At 47.9% G+C, this 21,562-nt stretch overlaps 1 protein-coding gene and 1 long non-coding RNA gene across 3 annotated transcripts in view, besides 2 other annotated features; one reads left to right on the top strand and one right to left on the bottom strand.

Moving 5' to 3' along the window:
- LOC105369325 (uncharacterized) overlaps nt 1-9,966 on the bottom strand; it is a 63,496-nt gene extending 53,530 nt beyond the window's left edge. The window contains exon 1 of the long non-coding RNA NR_188502.1: nt 9,905-9,966. This is a non-coding gene — a long non-coding RNA (uncharacterized LOC105369325). The remainder of the gene's footprint in view (nt 1-9,904) is intronic.
- Nucleotides 9,239-9,288: an enhancer, noted in NCBI's record as "active region_4792". NCBI's record gives its function as "activates an Ori minimal core promoter by ATAC-STARR-seq in GM12878 lymphoblastoid cells {active_cell/tissue: GM12878}" and the evidence as "EXISTENCE:reporter gene assay evidence [ECO:0000049][PMID:35858748]".
- Nucleotides 9,567-10,529: an enhancer, noted in NCBI's record as "H3K4me1 hESC enhancer chr11:60859431-60860393 (GRCh37/hg19 assembly coordinates)". NCBI's record gives its function as "activates a minimal SCP1, AML or CMV promoter by ChIP-STARR-seq in primed H9 embryonic stem cells {active_cell/tissue: H9 hESC(primed)}" and the evidence as "EXISTENCE:reporter gene assay evidence [ECO:0000049][PMID:30033119]".
- The window catches only part of CD5 (CD5 molecule), a 33,890-nt gene continuing 23,898 nt past the window's right edge, over nt 11,571-21,562 (top strand). Inside the window, exon 1 of one of the 2 annotated variants that reach the window (NM_001346456.2) lies at nt 11,571-11,924. Coding sequence is in view for 1 of the 2 variants with exons in the window: in NM_014207.4 (NP_055022.2) it covers nt 20,169-20,223 (55 nt within the window). In the remaining variant the exon portion in view is untranslated. Of the gene's footprint in view, nt 11,925-20,096; nt 20,224-21,562 lie in introns of those variants that run through there. The other variant, NM_014207.4, reaches the window with a different exon arrangement.

The raw sequence follows: 21,562 nt of genomic DNA on the forward strand, positions 1-21,562 counted from the left end.
GCCCAGTAAAGGGGCTCCCCTGCAGCCCCCTTCCTGCCGGGCAAGGCCACAGGCAGGGTGTGGCTTGTATGCCATGGGGCACGCTTTACTTTCCAGCCTGGTACACACGCGGCAGAGTGGTCTTGGTACAGAATCAAAGGAACGACACTCCGAGGTCACAGATTACCCGGCTGGTGCCATCTGCTTCTGACAGTTGGATTGCGTTTTTCACAGTTACAAATCACGTCCCTTCAGGAATATCGGGAGGGGACCTGTGTTCCTAGGCACACACTCATCCCAAGCTGCCCTCCTTGGCAGAGCACGTGGGGAAGTGGGTGAGTAGTGAATGTTCCTGCCAGATGCTGGCCTCTGCTCTACCTACCTCACGCCATTTAATCTTCATGACAATCTGATGAGGCAGGTACTAGTGTTATTCCCATCTTTCAGAGGAGCTTGCACAGCTGGTGATTGACAGAAAAGAAAAAGGGGCTCTAGAAACCCATTTTAACCCCCTGTCCCTGCCAGGGAGGCTGCCCTGAGAACCAGTCTGTCCTGGGACCCCCTGCTGACCCTCATCACCTAGTCTCCCTGCCATCCCACCCTGTCCTGCAGAGAGGTTAGGACGCAGGAGCTGTGGGTTCCCACCAGCCCAACCCTTCTTGCTGAGCATCCTGGGGAAGCCCCCTAACGTTGCTGGACCGCCATGCTCCTGTGTGTAGGGCCCCACGGCCTCAGAGTTGGGTATGTCCTAACAGAAGTTGACCTCGTAGAGGACAACGCCTGATCGAGCGGAGGGTATCCTCTCAGCGGGAGAATCAGGAGCCCTGGGTCCCTGTTGGTTCCTTAACTTGCTGTGTGATCATGGGCAGGGCGCTTCACCTCTCTGAAAGATGGGGCAAATGTCATCTTCGCTGTCTTCCTCCTCCGGTTGTTATGAAGATCAGGTTGATCTCAGTGATGAATGTGAAAGTGCCATGCTCAGTGAAGATGACTCGAGGCAGACACAGGCAGGGGTTGTTACTGACAATGGTGACCACAACCCTTGCCCTGCCCGGGAGCAGGGACCCTCCCCTGCTTTGCAGATGAAGTAAAGTGAGGCTCTAGGGAAAGCAGGTTTCCACTCCAAAAACATCAGAGACTTGTTTTGCCTTTAAATCCTTCACAGAGGGAGACTCAAATCCCAGACTACAAGTTCCCTGCAAGGGGACAGAAAGGATCTCCAGGGCCTCAGATCTCCCCTGGATTTACCAGGCAACTGGAACGAGGTATAAACAGCCAAGGACTTAGTATCCGGAGATGCAAGTGCAGGCTCTGCCTCTGTTTCTGTTTCACTGGGGATGTCGTAGTCAGTTTCCTCGTTGATTGCGCGGGGACGGGGCACCTGTCTGCTTGACAGCGCTGTCAGGGACATGAAGTGCGATGCTTCCGTGCAAATGCTTTGTAAAGTGCAGTGCTCCAAGAGAGGCATTAAGAGTGTCCAAACCATACACCACCCAGGCCACCTCGAGGCCACTCTACAATTGGGAAAGCACCTGCCTCTGTAATTGTGGCTTTGTGTGTTTCACACCCTCCTTGGTCTCCAGCTCTCTGAGAAAAAGTCCTGTTTACTCTGTGATATGCAGGTATCTGCGGGTGGCAGCAGAGCTTCAAGCTTAAAAGATGTAGACTTTGTATGACCAAATGCCTGTCGTGGTTGAATGTGGAAATAAATGGTGGTACAGTCACACAACAGAATACTATACAGCAATGAAAAAGAACAAGCTCCTATACACAATAACATGGATGAATCGTCCAAGAATAATGAGTGAAAAAAATTGAAACACAAAAGGTATAAACTTTGTGATACATTTAAAGTTCAAAGAAAAGGGCCAGGCACGGTGGCTCACACCTGTAATCCTAGCACTTTGGGAGGCTGAGGCAGATGGAGCACTTGAGGCTAGGAGTTCAAGACCGGCCTAGCCAACAAGACGAAACCCCGTCTCTACTAAAAAAATAAAAATTAGAAATAAAGGGTATTCAATTAGGAAAAGAGGAAGTCAAATTGTCCCTGTTTGCAGACGACATGATTGTTTATCTAGAAAACCCCATCGTCTCAGCCCAAAATCTCCTTAAGCTGATAAGCAACTTCAGCAAAGTCTCAGGATACAAAATCAATGTACAAAAATCACAAGCATTCTTATACACCAACAACAGACAAACAGAGAGCCAGATCATGGGTGAACTCCCATTCACAATTGCTTCAAAGAGAATAAAATACCTAGGAATCCAACTTACAAGGGATGTGAAGGACCTCTTCAAGGAGAACTACAAACCACTGCTCAAGGAAATAAAAGAGGAGACAAACAAATGGAAGAACATTCCATGCTCATGGGTAGGAAGAATCAATATCGTGAAAATGGCCATACTGCCCAAGGTAATTTACAGATTCAATGCCATCCCCATCAAGCTACCAATGACTTTCTTCACAGAATTGGAAAAAACTACTTTAAAGTTCATATGGAACCAAAAAAGAGCCCGCATCGCCAAGTCAATCCTAAGCCAAAAGAACAAAGCTGGAGGCATCACACTACCTGACTTCAAACTATACTACAAGGCTACAGTAACCAAAAGAGCATGGTACTGGTACCAAAACAGAGATATAGATCAATGGAACAGAACAGAGCCCTCAGAAATAATGCCGCATATCTACAACTATCTGATCTTTGACAAACCTGAGAAAAACAAGCAATGGGGAAAGGATTCCCTATTTAATAAATGGTGCTGGGAAAACTGGCTAGCCATATGTAGAAAGCTGAAACTGGATCCCTTCCTTACACCTTATACAAAAATCAATTCAAGATGGATTAAAGATTTAAACGTTAAACCTAAAACCATAAAAACCCTAGAAGAAAACCTAGGCATTACCATTCAGGACATAGGCGTGGGCAAGGACTTCATGTCCAAAACACCAAAAGCAATGGCAACAAAAGACAAAATTGACAAATGGGATCTAATTAAACTAAAGAGCTTCTGCACAGCAAAAGAAACTACCATCAGAGTGAACAGGCAACCTACAACATGGGAGAAAATTTTTGCAACCTACTCATCTGACAAAGGGCTAATATCCAGAATCTACAATGAACTCAAACAAATTTACAAGAAAAAAACAAACAACCCCATCAAAAAGTGGGCGAAGGACATGAACAGACACTTCTCAAAAGAAGACATTTATGCAGCCAAAAAACACATGAAGAAATGCTCATCATCACTGGCCATCAGAGAAATGCAAATCAAAACCACTATGAGATATCATCTCACACCAGTTAGAATGGCAATCATTAAAAAGTCAGGAAACAACAGGTGCTGGAGAGGATGCGGAGAAATAGGAACACTTTTACACTGTTGGTGGGACTGTAAACTAGTTCAACCATTGTGGAAGTCAGTGTGGCGATTCCTCAGGGATCTAGAACTAGAAATACCATTTGACCCAGCCATCCCATTACTGGGTATATACCCAAATGAGTATAAATCATGCTGCTATAAAGACACATGCACACGTATGTTTATTGCGGCACTATTCACAATAGCAAAGACTTGGAACCAACCCAAATGTCCAACAATGATAGACTGGATTAAGAAAATGTGGCACATATACACCATGGAATACTATGCAGCCATAAAAAATGATGAGTTCATATCCTTTGTAGGGACATGGATGAAATTGGAAACCATCATTCTCAGTAAACTATCGCAAGAACAAAAAACCAAACACCGCATATTCTCACTCATAGGTGGGAATTGAACAATGAGATCACATGGACACAGGAAGGGGAATATCACACTCTGGGGACTGTGGTGGGGTCGGGGGAGGGGGGAGGGATAGCATTGGGAGATATACCTAATGCTAGATGACACATTAGTGGGTGCAGCGCACCAGCATGGCACATGTATACATATGTAACTAACCTGCACAATGTGCACATGTACCCTAAAACTTAGAGTATAATAAAAAAAAAAAAAAAAAAAGAATAAAATCTAAATTTCTTAAAAAAAAAAAAAATAAAAAAAATAAAAAATAAAAATTAGCCAGACGTGGTGGTGCACACCTGTAATCCCAGCTGCTCGGGAGGCTGATGCAGGAGACTCATTTGAACCTGGGAGGCAGAAGCTGCAGTGAGCCAAGATGGCACCACTGCACTCCAGCCTGGGTGACAGACTCTTGTCTCAAAATAATAAATAAATAAAATAAAGTTCAAAGAAAAGGCAAAGCCAATCTATGATGACAGAAGTCAGGACAGTGGATACTTGGGTAGGGAGCAGTGCGGGGCAGTGGGGAGCCTCCCAGGTGCTGGTTACACCAGCACGTGCAGTGTGTGAAGTTACATTTATAACACACTGCATGTACTGTGCTGTGTGTATCCCATATATAAGTAAAAAGTTGTTGTTGTTTTAAATTAAGCATCTGGGTTCCAGCCCAGCTTTACCACCTGGATGGTGTATAATCTCAGGCTAATTAAACTCTCTGAGTATCTACTCACTCTTCTGCAAAATAGAATAAAAATGATATCTGCCCCAAATGCTTCCAAATGTCAATGATTCAAAATTTCCATTCACGTTTACCTTATCCAAGTACCAAATATTATTTTTACTTAATATTTTTCCTTTAAATCAACTCACTAGTTAATCTAAAAATGAAATGTATAAACCATGAATCTGGTGAGCTAGTTATCTATTTTCAGTATATAAATTAATATAAAGTAAAACAAACACATTATTAAGATAAAAATGTTCATCTGTGAGCCACCTCAAGTCATCCTCCACATCAGTGAAGGTGGTATGTATATATTAACTCTGTCACCCAGGTTGGAGTGCAGTGGCATGATCACAGCTCACTGCAGCCTCAACCTCCTGGGCTCAAGCAATCCTCCCATCTCTGCCTCCCAAGTGGCTGGGACTACAGGCACACACCACCATGCCTGGATAATTTTTTTTTAATTTTTTTATAGAGACAGGGTTTCACCGTGTTGCCCAGGCTGGTCTTTAACTCCTGGGCTCAAGTGATTCTCCTGCCTCGGCCTCCCAAAGTGCTGGGATTACAGGCACGAGCCACTACGCCCGGCCAAGGTGTCATACTCACTCTGGGGAAAAAAACTAAGATAATGTAATTACATAGAGTCCCTAGCACTGTGTAAGCCCTTAGTAAATGGTAGCTATTATCACCACCATCATCATCATCATCGACTTCATCAACATTACTGACATCATCATCACCATCATCTTCATCATTTCATCATCACCATCAGCATCATTACTGCCATTATCATCATTCTCATCATTGACATGATCATCACTATCATCATCACCACATATAACACCAATAAGTATTTGTTTCCAGATCATCCCACAGGGTCAACCCAACATGGCCCTGGCCTCAGAAGAGCTTACAGAATTAGGAACATATAACCCATGCTGAAGTGTTGGGGCTTGCTGGGACACATATCGAGGTGAGCGCTCCACATCGGTGTGGATGGGGTAGAAGTTGTTGAGCTATGCCCTCCCACCCTCCACACCAGACCAGAACCGACTCTCTCCAGATTGCCTTGGGGACCTGCCTCTTGCCACAGGCCAAGGCTGACTGCACCTGGACCCATCCCCTCATCTCTCAGAACTTCAGTCTCCTCATCTCTGAAACAAGGCTGGTGACCTCAGCTCCTCCAAACCTCCCAGCAATGGGCAAAGGGAAGGACCCGCCATCAAAGACAAACAGAAGTCACTCGAGGAATGTCCTGGACATTCAGTAAATGATCACAAACATGTCTCACTTTTATATCAAATTTGTCCCCCAAGGTGGAGTCCTGGACACTCACTAATGATCACAAACATGTCTTATTCTTATATCAAACCTGTCCCTCGAGGTGGACCTGGACCTCTTCCACACTGACAGTCACAGGGCACCTAGAGTGCCCATCATGGAACAGAAAAATCCTGATCCCTAAAGTAGTTATAAACCTACTCAAGTGTGTCCCTCTTTAAGTAAACTCAGCCAATCAGTATTCAGATCTACTAGAAGTAAGTTGGGATGGAGGTAACTAATTCAATTTTTACAGTGTGCTTTTAGTATTTAAAATGGTCATAATCCTTGATTCAAATAATTCTAATTAAAGGAAATAAGGATATGATTGTGCAAAAATATTTATCACAGTTATTTTTAATAGCAAAAAAAAAAAAATGAGGAGCTGGGTAAAGTGGCTCACGCCTGTAATCCCAGCACTTTGCGGGGCTGAGGCAGGAGGATCGCTTGAGCCTAGGAGTTTGAGACCAGCCTGGGCAACACAGCGAGACCCTATCTCTACAAAAAATTTGTTTTTAAAAATTAACCAAGCGTGGTAGCTCATGCCTGTAGTCCCAGCTAAGGCCGAGGAAGGAGGGTCACTTGAGCCCAGGAAGTCAAAGTAGCAGTGAGCTGTGATCGCACCACTGCACTCCAGCCTGGGCAACAGACTGAGATACTGTCTCAAAAAAAAAACAAAAAAAAAAAGAGTAAACAACACAAATGTCCAATAATAGGGATTGGTTAAGTAAAAATCAGAACTTTTATTAGCTATTGTAGACCCATTTTTAAAAACCATGTTATATAAGTCTATGACATGGCACGACACTCAAGATATACTTTAAGAAAAAAAGCAGATACAAAGATATCTCTTTATATATATCTACATATAGATATCTGTGTGTATATATCTTAAGTATATTTATAAAAGATATATAATTTATATAAAATATATATACCTCGTACATATAAACATGTATATCACAAATACATGATACTAATTTTGAAACAGTAGATTATCGTAATTATAAATTGAAAAGAATAAAATATATAACATATTAACTGTGGTCATAATGAATGGTAGGATTGTGAGTGGTTTTATTTTTTCTTTATATTCTATAGTTTTGCTAATTTTTCACAAAAGCATGCATTATTTTTATTATTAAAAAATCACGTTATAAAAATGTTATATGTTTTACATAATTATACAAACAAATACCAGGACTTTTTTCTTTAAAAGATTTTCTGCAGACCCCTTTTAAAATAAAATCCTTACCCAACCTCATGCTACCATCTTGATCAAATCTCACCCCCACAATTAATTTCTGTAAATGTAGAAACTATTCAACTCATTGATATTTTTATTTTATGAAAATAAGACTGCAATATATAAATTGTTCTGAAATTTAATGTTTTCACTGAGCAAAAATATCATGGACATTTCTCTGTGTCAGGATACGGGGATCTATGAGCCCTTTCTTGATGGCTATATTCCCAACTATTCCAGAGTGTAGCTGGTTTGGAACTTATTTGCCCTTTGCCCTATCTTTCCCGTGTTTTATTATCCGTTGGTGACTTCAGCACCCCTGTGCATACTGCCTTGCACCCTGGTGAGTATAGGAGGCTTCTCTAAAGGTAATAGTGTATACGAGATTTTTTTTTAATGTGGCTTTTGCCATTTTATCCCTTAAAAATGGCTGTATCAATTTTCCAGCTTCTGGTAACTGATATTCTTTAAATGAGACTCCAAGCTTCAACTGACAGATTGAGGAATCTGGTGGACCATCTGGTGCAGCGCCTTTATTTCACAGATAAACTGAGACCCGGGGGGAGAGACTCCACCCTAGGCACGGAGCCAGTGAGGGGCTGAGCCAGGATGCTGCCCACAGCGTCCCACTTCTGGACCCATCTAGAAGCCACTACGCTAGCAGGACTCAGAAGTCATTGTCCTCATGCTTCCCTCAGCCTGGAAAATTGATCCCACCACCAAGCTGGAAAACCACTCATCCTTTGGGTCTTCATCTAGATGTCACCCCCTCCAGGAAGCCTTCCCTGATTTTCCCAGAGGCTGGATTGGACACGCGTCCCCCTCTGTGCTCCCTCAGGCCTGGCCTTTCCATGCTGTGTCCCAGTTGCCTGTCAGGTAGCCTCCCCACTGGGCTGGAAGCTCAGGGCGGTGGTGGGGGGTGCGGGGAGCAGGGTGTGCTTGTCAGTCTGTTTCATGTGTCCCTGCTGAAAGCTTCTCTGTCAATCATTCATTTGTTCAAGAAATAGCTTTGTGCCGGGTGCTAGGTGCGGGGGAGAGAAGGCAGGAGCGCTCCTGACCAGTGTCAGGTCTTCAGGAACGCTAAGCACTGCTCTAAGAAGCTGAGAGCCACGCTGAAGCTCTGCGTGCTGACCGCCACGTGAGCCTTTTCCACAAGTGCACCCGGCCAGCCTCCCAACATCCCTTCAAGGCAGGCTGTGTTCCACCCGTTTTACAGATGGGATCTGAGGCTCCAAGGGCCAAGGCTGCCACACCGAGGACACACAGTTGGGTCAGCCGGCCTCCTAGGCCCCCAAGATCTCTACTGTGACACAGCGAAACCCCTAAATGGCCACGAGAAGCACCAGCCTGAGATGAGAGAGAGGCTGCACCAGGGCAAGGGGTGCCTGTGGAAGAGGAGGCCTGGCGGTCCAGTCCAAAGCTCACTGTTGGTTATCTGTGCACCTTGGAGAATTCACATAACCTCTCTGATCCTCAATTATTTCACATGAACAACAGCCTTCATTAACACCTGTCGTACACTACTAGGAGGCCTTATTTTCTCAACCAAAGCCTATGCCTTATGGTCGAACAAGTCTAATCTTACAGTAGCAGCGGAAGAGTGAATATGAATGCTGAGTCCTCAGGGCCTCAGGCTGCGGGATGTGTGACTGGCACCCCGGGCTGTGGGCAGGCCTACAGCAGGCCTGGGTTGGGGGGCAGGTAGCAATGGAAAGGGGCTCCAGGAACACAGCCCCAGTGAGGGGAACTTGAGGAGGGCCCAGCAGAGGCGGGGGCGAATGCAGCCTGAGCCAACCAGCCCGCTCACGCCAGGGTACCACTGATCACAGACCTTCCAGAAGCCACAGGAGGCTGCCTAGTGTTGTCCGTGAGGGGCTAGGAAAGTAGGGGGTCAGTGGGGGAGCCTTATCTGTCCCTCCAGGCAAGACGGCCTCCTCCCCAGCTGCTCGACTCGCACCTGGACTTGGGGAAAGTACACACACTGAGACACCTTCCCAAGCCAGCGGGACCCTGTTCAGGCCACTTGGAATCCTCAGTCTTCTGCCCCTCCCCAAAGCCCTGACACTCACTCAACACTCAGCTCCCTCTCACACTAGCGAAAGAGGTAAACCTCCAGGCCCCACACAGAGAAATCCCCCACCTCCGACTGGACTCGGCACGCCAGTCAAACACTTTCATGCTGGGTTCCTAGGACAAGAGAGCTGGGCCTCGGGACCATCCAATCTCTGCATTTTACATATGAGCCAACCTCGGCCCAGAGCATGACAGGGACTTGACTGCAAAGGTGCCAAAGGTGAGACTCGAATGCAGGTGCCACCAGGCCAGCGCGTCTCCACCACACTGCACGCCACATGCATGTCCAGACCTGGATCCTAGATCCTCCTTCTCCCCCTCCCCACCCCCCACCAACAGCCAAACTGGGTGGGAACAAAGCTGGGGGAGGAGAGGCACTTCCTGAGCTGGCGGGGAGGGGAGTGTTGCGAAGTCAGCTCCCTGGGTGCCCCCACCCCCACAGCCAAACAGAGGTTTCCAAGGATCCAGGTCACTGAGTCATCCACACACACTTGTAGGCCTCTTCTGCCCTTCTCATCTGGCCACCAGGCCATCCATTATCTTTGGGAATCATTCCATAGATTTCTTCCTTCATTCATTCAACAAACCCTGAGGTCCTACTATGCACCAGTCACATTCCTCAGCCTCCTTCACCTCCTCCCTCCCACCCTCAGCTCCTCCCCTTTCCCCAGATCCTAGTGCCCCTTTGCCCCAGTGAAGAGGGCACACCTGGGGGCACTGAGGAGTCACCGAGTCCAGAGGGGTGACAGACACAGGCACACCCCACCCCAGATTACCTGGTGTGGCCCACGGCAGCACCGGCAGGCACCTCTCCGGTAGAGGTTGAGGAGGTTCTGACACCCGGCCCTGGGGGCTCAGCAACCCCTTCCCCCACCTTCAGCCTCTACTGGGCCTCGCTGCCTGGAAAACCCAGCCTGGGCTCAGCTGACTTCCTCTTGTGTCATGGAAAGTGCAGTGATGGGGACAGGAAACTCCCGCCAGGGATCTGAGGTCTGAGTGGGGACAGGGGCCCAGAGGTTTCTGGACCTGGAGGCCCGGAGGGGTGAAAGGGGCAGGGGTAACTTATGGGGGTGGGCAGCAGGGAGGGAGCCTATAGGGCAGTGTTCTCAGAGGGCAGCGACCCCCTCCACTAGGGTCGAGGCAGTGCCAAGCCCTGGGGGCCTGGAAGACAGCAACCCGAGGCCCTGAGCTACTTTCAGTTTTCCAAAACCAAACTAACAAACAAAAAGAGTAGAAGTTGTACTGTGATGAAGACTCTGAGATCAAAGCAAAGCCCAAATGTTTGGTTTGTTTTCTTTTCTTTGGGTAAGGAGGTGGGGAGTGGTGGCAAGGGTGGCAGAGTGAGGAAAACGTGGGATCATACTTCAGCGTTGACCTCCTGGGGCCGAATACTTTACCTTCTGAGCCTCAGTTTCCTCATCTGTGAAATGGAAAGCTGTGCCCACTTCCATGATAATTGGGAAGACTGAAGGAGCTGACGCCTCTGGCTAGAGGAAGGTGCTTAGTAAAACTTTCCTCGCTCTTTTGGGCTGCAATTATGTACACTGAGTGTGGGAACAGGGGCTGTGAAGGGCTGCTTACTGCACACAGCTGTGTGACCCACGAACAGCACTCATCAAGAAAAAACATCCCAGCAGAGTCTTTGGTGCTAAGAAGGGTGGAGCCATGTCTGTCTCTTTCGTCTTCACATCCCTGGGCTTAGCATGGGACAAATATTGATAAATGAATGAGTGAATGAATGAATGAATGAAAGAGGCTGGGATTTCCAGAGTCAAGGGACCAGGAAGGATGGATGTGAGGGCAAGGGGCAGGGGGCAGGGAACTGGGCCAGGCCTGGCCGGGAGGGGCCGGGTGAGGTTTCCCCATCCCAGGCTGAGGGCACCTCTGGCGGGAGGAAAAGGCACCTCTGAAGGCTGGATGAGGGATGGGTGTGGCCCCAATCACAGCTACCTTAGGAGTTCTCTTTCCTTGATCCTGGGGTGGGGGTCAAAGCTTCCCTCTGCCAAAGAGGTTCAAGCATGCAGCACCCTCCAGCCCTGAGTGAGCAGAAACCGGGGAGTGTCTAAGTGGGTCTAAGGGAGGAGACCACCCCTCCTATTGTCTTATGCCCGATTTCTGCCTCCAAAGAAAGAAGAAGTAAAAACTAAAAGGCAGAAATGAAATCCACAAGCAGACAGCTCGGCGCCACACCCTGGGCCTGGTAGTTAAAGATCGACCCCTGACCTAATCGGTTATGTCATCTATAGATTACAGACATTGTATAGAAAAGCACTGTGAAAATCCCTGTCCTGTTCTGTTCTAATTACCGGTGCATGCAGCCCCCAGTCACGTACCCCCTGCTTGCTCATTCGATCACGACCCTTTCAAGCGGACCCCCTTAGAGTTGTAAGCCCTTAAAAGGGACAGGAATTGCTCACTCAGGGAGCTCGGCTCTTGAGACAGGAGTCTTGCTGATGCTCCCGGCTGAATAAACCCCTTCCTTCTTTAACTTGGTGTCTGAGGGGTTTTGTCTGTGGCTTGTCCTGCTACATTTCTTGGTTCCCTGACCAGGAAGCAAAGTGATTAACGGACAGTTGAGGCAGCCCCTTAGGCAGCTTAGGCCTGCCTTGTGGAGCATCCCCGCGGGGAACTCTGGCCAGCTTGAGCGACACGGATCCTCAGAGCGCTCCCAGGTAGGCAATTGCCCCAGTGGAATGCCTCGTCAGAGCAGTGCATGGCAGGCCCCTGTGGAGGATCAACGCAGTGGCTGAACACAGGGAAGGAACTGGCACTTGGAGTCCGGACAACTGAAACTTGGTAAGACTAGTCCTTGGAACTTGCCCACTCCATTTGAGTGGAAGCATGGCCCAATCACCCATGGCATGCCTTTATCAGCACTTTGGTTTTGGTTTTGGTTTTGACTTGGTTTGAATCGCTTGACAGGACTGGTCTTGGGAACTTGCCTACTCCATTTGAGTAGAAGCGTGTCCTGATCACCCACAGTGTGCCTGTACCAGCACTTTGGTTTTTGTTTTTGACTTGTCTTGGATTGCTTGATACTTTGGTTTTGGTTTTGACCTGGCTTGGATTTCTTGATACTCTGATTTTGGTTTTGATTCTGGCTTGGCGTAAACTGTAAAAGTGTGTGTGTGCCCTTTTTACCCGTTCTTTGTTTTGTGGTGTGAGCATGGTGTTTTGTCTCGAGGAAACATGGGTCAGACACAAAGTAAGCCTACCCCACTAGGAACTATGTTGAAAAATTTCAAAAAGGGATTTAAGGGAGACTCTGGAGTCACTATGACACCAGGAAAACTTAGAGCTTTGTGTGAGATAGACTGGCCAGCATTAGAGGTGGGTTGGCCATCGGAAGGAAGCCTGGACAGGTCCCTTGTCTCGAAGGTATGGCACAGGGTAACCTGTAAGCCAGGGCACCCAGATCAGTTCTCACATATAGATTCTTGGTTACAGCTAGTTTTGGACCCCCCGCAGTGGTTAAGAGGACAGGCAGCAGCAGTACTAGTAGCAAAGGGACAGTTAGTTAAGGAAGGTTCTCGATCCCACCCGCCGAGGGAAGTCAGCACCAAAAGTCCTGTCCAACCCAACACCAGAAGAGTCACAGCAGGAATTGGTACCAGCAGTATCCCCTCCTTATCAAGAGGAAGGGCTCCCCACTCCTGAGCCCACAGCACCTACAACTCCACCAGATAACCACACCCCAGACCACCCAGAGTAGACAAAAGAGGAAGTGAAGCCACGGGAGAAACTCCTCCCTTGAAAGCTCGCTTACAGCCCAAGACTGGAATCCAAATGCCCCTGAGAGAGCAGTGATATACTGGGGTAGATGAGGACGGACACATGGTGGAAAGGCGTGCCTTTGTGTATCAACCTTTTACCTCTGCTGACCTCCTCAATTGGAAAAATAATACTCCATCTTACACTGAAAAGCCTCAAGCTTTAATTGACTTGCTCCAAACTATTATACAGACTCATAATCCTACTTGGGCTGACTGCCACCAGCTGCTCATGTACCTCTTTAATACAGGTGAAAGGTGAAGGGTGCTCCAGGCGGCAACTAAGTGGCTAGAGAAGCACGTCCCAGCCAATTACCAAAACCCCCAAGAATATATAAGAATTCAGCTGCCAGGAACAGACCCCCAATAGGACCTGAACGAGGGACCAGACATGGAGAGGCTAAGACGGTACCGTGAGGCATTAATAGAAGGTCTAAGGAAAGGGGCTCAAAAGGCTACAAATGTAAATAAGGTCTCTGAGGTCATCCAAGGAAAAGAGGAGAGTCCAGCACAATTCTATGAAAGACTGTGTGAGGCTTACTGTATGTACACTCCTTTTGATCCAGATAGCCCTGAGAATCAGCCCATGATTAACATGGCCTTACTTAGTCAAAGCACGGAATATATCAGGAGAAAATTGCAGAAACAGGCTGGGTTTGCGGGTATGAATACCTCACAGTTACTGGGGTTTGCGGGTATGAATACCTCACAGTTACTGGAAATAGTCAATCAAGTGTTTGAGAATGCAACAAGCCACAGAGAAAGCCGTAAGGAAGGCGAACGCCAGGCTAGGCGAAACGCCGACTTACTGGCCATGGCCATTATGGGAATTCCCCCGAAAGGAGAGGGAAAGGGGGGTTCTGGGAAGAATACCCAGTCTAATCTCCCATGCTTGCAATGTAACCAATGCGCCTGTTGTAAGGAAGTAGGGCATTGGAAAGATAAGTGTCCCCAACTGAAGGAAAAGCAAGGTGATTCAGAACAAAAGACCTCAGATAAAGATGAGGGAGCTTTGTTCAATCTGGCTGAAGGGCTACTGGACTGAAGGGGACCGGGCGCAAGCACCCCCAAGGAGCCCAAGGTCAGGATTACAACTGGGGGCAAGGACGTTAAGTTTTTGGTTGATAGTGGTGCTGAACCTTCAGTAGTGACCACCCCGGTCACCCCCTCATCCAAGAAAACCATTGATATAATCAGAGCAACAGGAGTTTCCACTAAGCAGGCTTTCTGTCTACCACGGACCTGCTCGGTGGGGGGACATGAGATAGCTCACCAGTTCTTGTACATGCCTGACTGTCCCTTGCCCTTGCTGGGAAGAGACTTGCTTAGCAAGTTGAGAACCACCATCTCCTTTACAAAGCAGGGCTCTTTACAGCTAAAGTTACCAGCAACAGGAGTTATCATGGCCCTTACGGTCCCCCGGGAAGAAGAATGAAGACTTTTTCTAACCAAGCCAGGCCAAGAGATAAAACCAGCTCTAGCTAAGCAATGGCCCCAAGTATGGACAGAGGATAATCCTCCAGGACTGGTGGTCAGCCAAGCCCCTGTACTCATAGAAGTTAAGCCTGGGGCCCAACCAATTAGACAAAAGCAGTATCTGGTTCCCAGAGAAGCTCTCGAAGGAATCCAGGTTCCTCTCAGGCGCTTGACAGCCTATGGAATTATAGTTCCTTGCCAGTCTCCACGGAACACCCCCCTCCTACCTGTCCCTAAACCAGGGACCAAGGACTACTGGCCAGTACAGGACTTGGTCCGAGGAGAAGTTTACAAACCCTCTCCTGAGCCAGTGTTTCAAACTTTCTAAGATGAACTCAATGTGCCAGTACCACAAATTCCAGGAAAAACAAGAAATTTGTTTTTGCAATTAGCCGAGCACGTAGCCCAGTCTCTCAATGTCACTTCATGTTATGTATGCGGAGGAACTGTAATGGGAGGTCAATGGCCATGGGAAGCCCAAGAATTACTACCTACAGACCCAGTTCCTGATGAATTCTTGGCTCAAAAGAATCACCCTGATAATTTCTGGGTCCCAAAAGCCTCAATTATTGGACAATATTGCATAGCTAGAGAAGGAAAAGAATTCACTCACCCCGTAGGACGACTTAGTTGTCTGGGACAGAAACTGTATAATGGTACCACAGAAACAGTCACTTGGTGGAGTTCAAATCACATAGAGAGGAATCCATTTAGTAAATTCCCAAAGTTGCAAACCGTGTGGACCCACCCGGAGTCCCACCAGGACTGGACAGCCCCCACTGGATTATACTGGATATGTGGGCATAGAGCTTACGCCAAATTACCTGACCACTGGGCAGGTAGTTGTGTTATTGGCACTATTAAACCATCTTTCTTCCAACTGCCCATAAAAACAGGTGAACTCCTGGGCTTCCCTGTCTATGCTTCCCGCAAAAAGAGAAGCATAGCTATAGAAAATTGGAAAGATGATGAATGGCCGCCCCCTGAGAGAATCATACAATATTATGGGCCTGTTACTTGGGCACAAGACGGCTTGTGGGGATACCAGACCCCCATTTACGTGCTCAACCGAATCATACGGTTACAAGCTGCCTTAGAAATAATCACTGATAAAATCAGCAGAGCCTTGACTATTCTGGCCTGGCAAGAAACTCAGATGAGAAATGCTATCTCTCAAAATAGATTGGCTCTCGACTACTTGCTAGCAGCTGAAGGAGGGGTCTATGGGAAATTTAACCTTACTAATTGCTGTCTACACGTAGATGATCAAGGACAAGTAGTTGAAGATATAGTTAGAGATAGGACAAAACTGGCACATGTGCCCGTGCAAGTGTGGCATGAATTTGATCCTGGGGCCATGTTTGGAAAATGGTTCCCAGCACTAGGAGGATTTAAAACTCTTATAATAGGAGTTTTAATAGTAATAGGAACCTGCTTACTGCTCCCTTGTTTGCTACCTGTACTTCTTCAAATGATAAAAAGCTTCATCGCTACCTTAGTTCACCAAAATGCTTCAGCCCAAGTGTACTATGTGAATCACTATTGATCTGTCTTGCAAGAAGACATGGTAGTGAAAATGAAAGTGAGAACTCCCACTCATGAGTGAGATTCTCAAAAGAGGGGAATAAGGGAGGAGACCACCCCTCATACTGTCTTATGCCCAATTTCTGCCTCCAAAGAAAGAAGAAGTAAAAACTAAAAGGCAGAAATGAAATCTGCTCGGCACCACACCTGGGCTTGGTAGTTAAAGATCGACCCCTGACCTAATCTGTTATGTTATCTATAGATTACAGACATTTTATAGAAAAGCACTGTGAAAATCCCTGTCCTATTCTGTTCCATTCTAATTATCAGTGCATGCAGCCCCCAGTCATGTACCCCCTGCTTGCTCAATCGATCATGACCCTCTCAAGCAGACTCCCTTAGAGTTGTGAGCCCTTAAAAGGGACAGGAATTGCTCACTCAGAGAGCTCAGCTCTTGAGACAGGAGTCTTGCTGATGCTCCCGGCTGAATAAACCCCTTCTTTCTTTAACTTGGTGTCTGAGGGGTTTTGTCTGTGGCTTGTCCTGCTACAGGTCTAAGTGGAATCTAAGTGGAGGCATCACTGAGCCAGCCTCTCCAGCCCAGGGATGGGGAGGCCCCAGGCCCTAGTGGACCTGGACCAGTGATCACGTCCTTGAACTACTTCCTACCTGCCTGGGGTGGCCCAGAGTACAGGAAGCCCAAGGAGCCAGGAGCTTTCTCATCTGGGAGCACAAAGGATGTGAGGAAAAAACGGAACCCAGCCCAGCCCAGGGAAACACAGGGACTTTCCCCTGCCCCGGGCTTCCCATCTTCTTTGCAGAGACCCTGCCTCTTCTTCAAGGGGGATGATTCCAGACCCTCTAAGAGCAACAGGGACACGGAGCTCACATACATACCCCACATCAACATGGAGATCACACACCTCAACACGGAGATCACACACATCAACATGGAAATCACACACACATATCGAATGGGGATTACACACATCAACGTGGAGCTCATACATACACCCCAACATGGAGATCACACCCACAACACAGAGATCACACAAGTCAACATGGAGATCACACACACACATCAACATGGAAATCACACACACACATCAACATGGAAATCACACACATCAACATGGAGATCACACACACACATCAACATGGAGATTACACATACATCAACATGGAGATCACACACACATCAACATGGAGATCACACACACACATCAACATGGAGATCACATTCGCACACATCAACATGGAGATCACACACACACATCAACATGGAGATTCACACATATCAACATGGAGATCACATTCACACACATCAACATGGAGATCACATTCACACACATCAACATGGAGATCACAAACACACATCAACATGGAGATCAAATTCACACATCAACATGGAGATTACACACACATCAACATGGAGATCACATTCACACACATCTACATGGAGATCACATTCACAACACAAACATGGAGATCACACACACATATATCAAATGGGGATTACACACACATCAACCCCAACATGGAGATCACACACACAGCACAGAGATCACACATGTCAACATGGAGATCATACACACACATCAACATGGAGATCACACACACATCAACATGGAGATCACACACACATCAACATGGAGATCACACACACTCGTCAACATGGAGATCACATTCACACACATCAACATGGAGATCACACACACACATCAACATGGAGATCACACACACACGACATGGAGATCACACACACACATCAACATGGAGATCACTCACACACATCAACATGGAGATCACACACACATCAACATGGAGATCACATTCACACACATCAACATGGAGATCACACACACACAACATGGAGATTACACACACACATCAACATGGAGATCACACACACATCAACATGGAGATCACACACACACAACATGGAGATCACACACACACATCAACATGGAGATCACACACACATCAACATGGAGATCACACATACATCAACATGGAGATCACACACACACGACATGGAGATCACACACACACATCAACATGGAGATCACTCACACACATCAACATGGAGATCACACACACACATCAACATGGAGATCACATTCACACACATCAACATGGAGATCACACACACACAACATGGAGATTACACACACACATCAACATGGAGATTACACACACAACATGGAGATCACATTCACACATATCAACATGGAGATCACATTCACACACATAAACATGGAGATCACACACACACATCAACATGGAGATCACACACACATCAACATGGAGATCACACACACAACATGGAGATCACACACACACATCAACATGGAGATTACACACACATCAACATGGAGATCACATTCACACACATCAACATGGAGATCACAAACACACATCAACATGGAGATCACACACACACATCAACATGGAGATCACATTCACACACATCAACATGGAGATCACAAACACACATCAACATGGAGATCACACACACACATCAACATGGAGATTACACACACATCAACATGGAGATCACATTCACACACATCAACATGGAGATCACACACACATCAACATGGAGATCACACACACATCAACATGGAGATCACACACACACATCAACATGGAGATTACACACACATCAACATGGAGATCACATTCACACACATCAACATGGAGATCACACACACACATCAACATGGAGATCACACACACACATCAACATGGAGATTACACACACATCAACATGGAGATCACATTCGCACACATCAACATGGAGATCACACACACACAACATGGAGATCACACACACACATCAACATGGAGATTACACACACATCAACATGGAGATCACACACTCATCCACATGGAGATCACACACACACATCAACATGGAGATCACACACACATCAACATGGAGATCACATTCACACACATCAACATGGAGATCACAAACACACATCAACATGGAGATCACACACACACATCAACATGGAGATTACACACACATCAACATGGAGATCACATTCACACACATCAACATGGAGATCACACACACACATCAACATGGAGATCACACACACACGTCAACATGGAGATCACATTCACACACATCAACATGGAGATCACATTCACACACACAAACATGGAGATCACACACACATATATCAAATGGGGATTACACACACATCAACCCCAACATGGAGATCACACACACAACACAGAGATCACACAAGTCAACATGGAGATCATACACACACATCAACATGGAAATCACAAACACACAACATGGAAATCACACACACATATCAACATGGAGATCACACACACACATCAACATGGAGATCACACACACATCAACATGGCGATCACAATCACACACATCAACATGGAGATCACACACAACACAGAAATCACACACGTCAACATGGAGATTACACACACATCAACATGGAGTTCACACACACATCAACATGGAGATCACACACACTCAACATGGAGCTCACACATACACCTCAACATGGAGATCACACAACACAGAGATGACACACACAACACAGAGATCACACAAGTCAACATGGAGATCTCTCTCTCTCTACACACACACACACACACACACACACACACACACACACACACTGGCACAAGCCCAGCATTCATGGCGCAGCCATCTCTTGTACTTGCTAGCAAAACACCACCTGTGGAAAGTCAGCTCAAACTTCCAACCTCATCCCTCACAAAGGGGGAATGGAGGGTTTGGTTTTGGCTTTCACTGGAGTCTGCAACAAGAACTGGCATCATGCTGCCCATTTCCCGCCTCTCCCCACCCAGACCCCTGCCTCAGGGACGCCTGTCCTCAGCCCAGCCCTCAGCTGCAGCCAGGCCTTCAGCCTCCGTAACCCCCGCTCAGGGTCCCCACCCCCTGCAGCCCTGTCCCTCCAGGATGCATGGCCTTGTCCTGTGTGGGGGTGGCCGAGAGCACTGCCCCAGCCCTGGGTACCTTGGGCAGGAAGCTGGCAGAGGCCAGGGCTGCCATTCAAACAGGGGCAGGTGGTTTTGCCAGGAGGAAGTTGACAGTTCAACTTCAAACATGGGTGACGCAGGCCCCACACTGCCTGCTCCCCGTCCCACCCCTCCCTGAGCACGCCACCCCGCCCTCTCCCTCTCTGAGAGCGAGATACCCGGCCAGACACCCTCACCTGCGGTGCCCAGCTGCCCAGGCTGAGGCAAGAGAAGGCCAGAAACCATGCCCATGGGGTCTCTGCAACCGCTGGCCACCTTGTACCTGCTGGGGATGCTGGGTGAGTACCCCTCCCAGGTGTCCTGCGAACACCCGGGCTCGCTCCAGTGCAAGGAAGGAGTTCCCAGTTTTACCCAAGGCTGACTCTGGGATCCACATGTCAGCCCTCTGGAGCGTTGTGGAGATTTGGGGCCACTGGGATCCCTGCCTGCCCCCACTAAGCCGCAGCTTGGCCCTCTGTCCTGCATGTCCCACCCGCCAGGAGCACAACCTTGCCTCTCTCATGCGCTGTTGAGAACCCTGCTTTACCCTTCCAGTGCAAGAGAGACTGCAGGGGGGACCCGCATTTGATGGGGCCCAGACAACTTGATTCCTAGGCTGAGTTGGATTTTAGCAGAGCATTCAGGCCTCCCTCTGCGAGGTCCCCCACTGACAGCCCAGCCTTTACTTGGTCGCCTCCAGAGACATGGAAACTCGCCGTCTCCGAGGCAGCTCTGATGATGCTCTGGACAGACAGTGGGCCGAGGCAGGGTGGAGCCGCCTCTGAGGACGATGTCTGAGCAAATGTCAAGGACTCATAGCGGAAGTCCTAGGCCCTCTCATGCCCAGTCCTGGGTCAGTCCCAGAGGGGCCCAGCCAGGCCGGCTGGGATGAGTACACGCTGGGCCTGCTCTCACTCCAGCCCTGGGTTGTAAGCCCAACCCTGTGTGACCTCGGATAGGTCCCCAAGCCTCTCCAGGCCTTGATCTCCCCATTTATGAAATGTGGGGGTTGGGGGTGTGAACTGGATGAGGCCTGACCCACTTCCTGAGGATTTAGAAGGTCTGGCAGGGTGACAGAGGTGCGTGACTCTGGGCTGGAAACAGGAGGATGCGAGCAGCTTCCAGGCTGGCAGGGAGAGGGTCCGGAGGCCTTGCCTGCCTGAGCAGGGAGCCTCAGCAGCCTTCTAGGGAAACCGGGTGTGCAGGTGTGAGTGTGGGGGAATGCATGTGTGTGTGTCTGTGTGCATGTGTGTGAGAACTGTGTGTGGGGGAATGTGTGAGTCTATGTGTGTCTGTGTGAGTCTGTGTGTACGTGTGTGAGAACTGTGTTGGGGGGTAATGTGTGACTCTGTGTGTGAGTCTGTGTGTGAGTCTCTGGGCATGTGTGTGAGTACTGTGTGTAGGGGAATGTGTGAGTCTGTGTGTGAGTCTGTGTGTGAGTCTCTGGGCATGTGTGTGAGTACTGTCTGGGGGGGAATGTGTGAGTCTGTGTGTGAGTCTCTGGGCATGTGTGTGAGTACTGTGTGGGGGGGAATGTGTGAGTCTGTGTGTGAGTCTGTGTGTGAGTCTCTGGGCATGTGTGTGAGTACTGTGTGTGGGGGGGGAATGTGTGACTCTGTGTGTGAGTCTCTGGGCATG

This window comes from Homo sapiens, chromosome 11 (assembly GCF_000001405.40).
Source record: "Homo sapiens chromosome 11, GRCh38.p14 Primary Assembly".
Taxonomy (NCBI): Eukaryota; Metazoa; Chordata; class Mammalia; order Primates; family Hominidae; genus Homo; species Homo sapiens.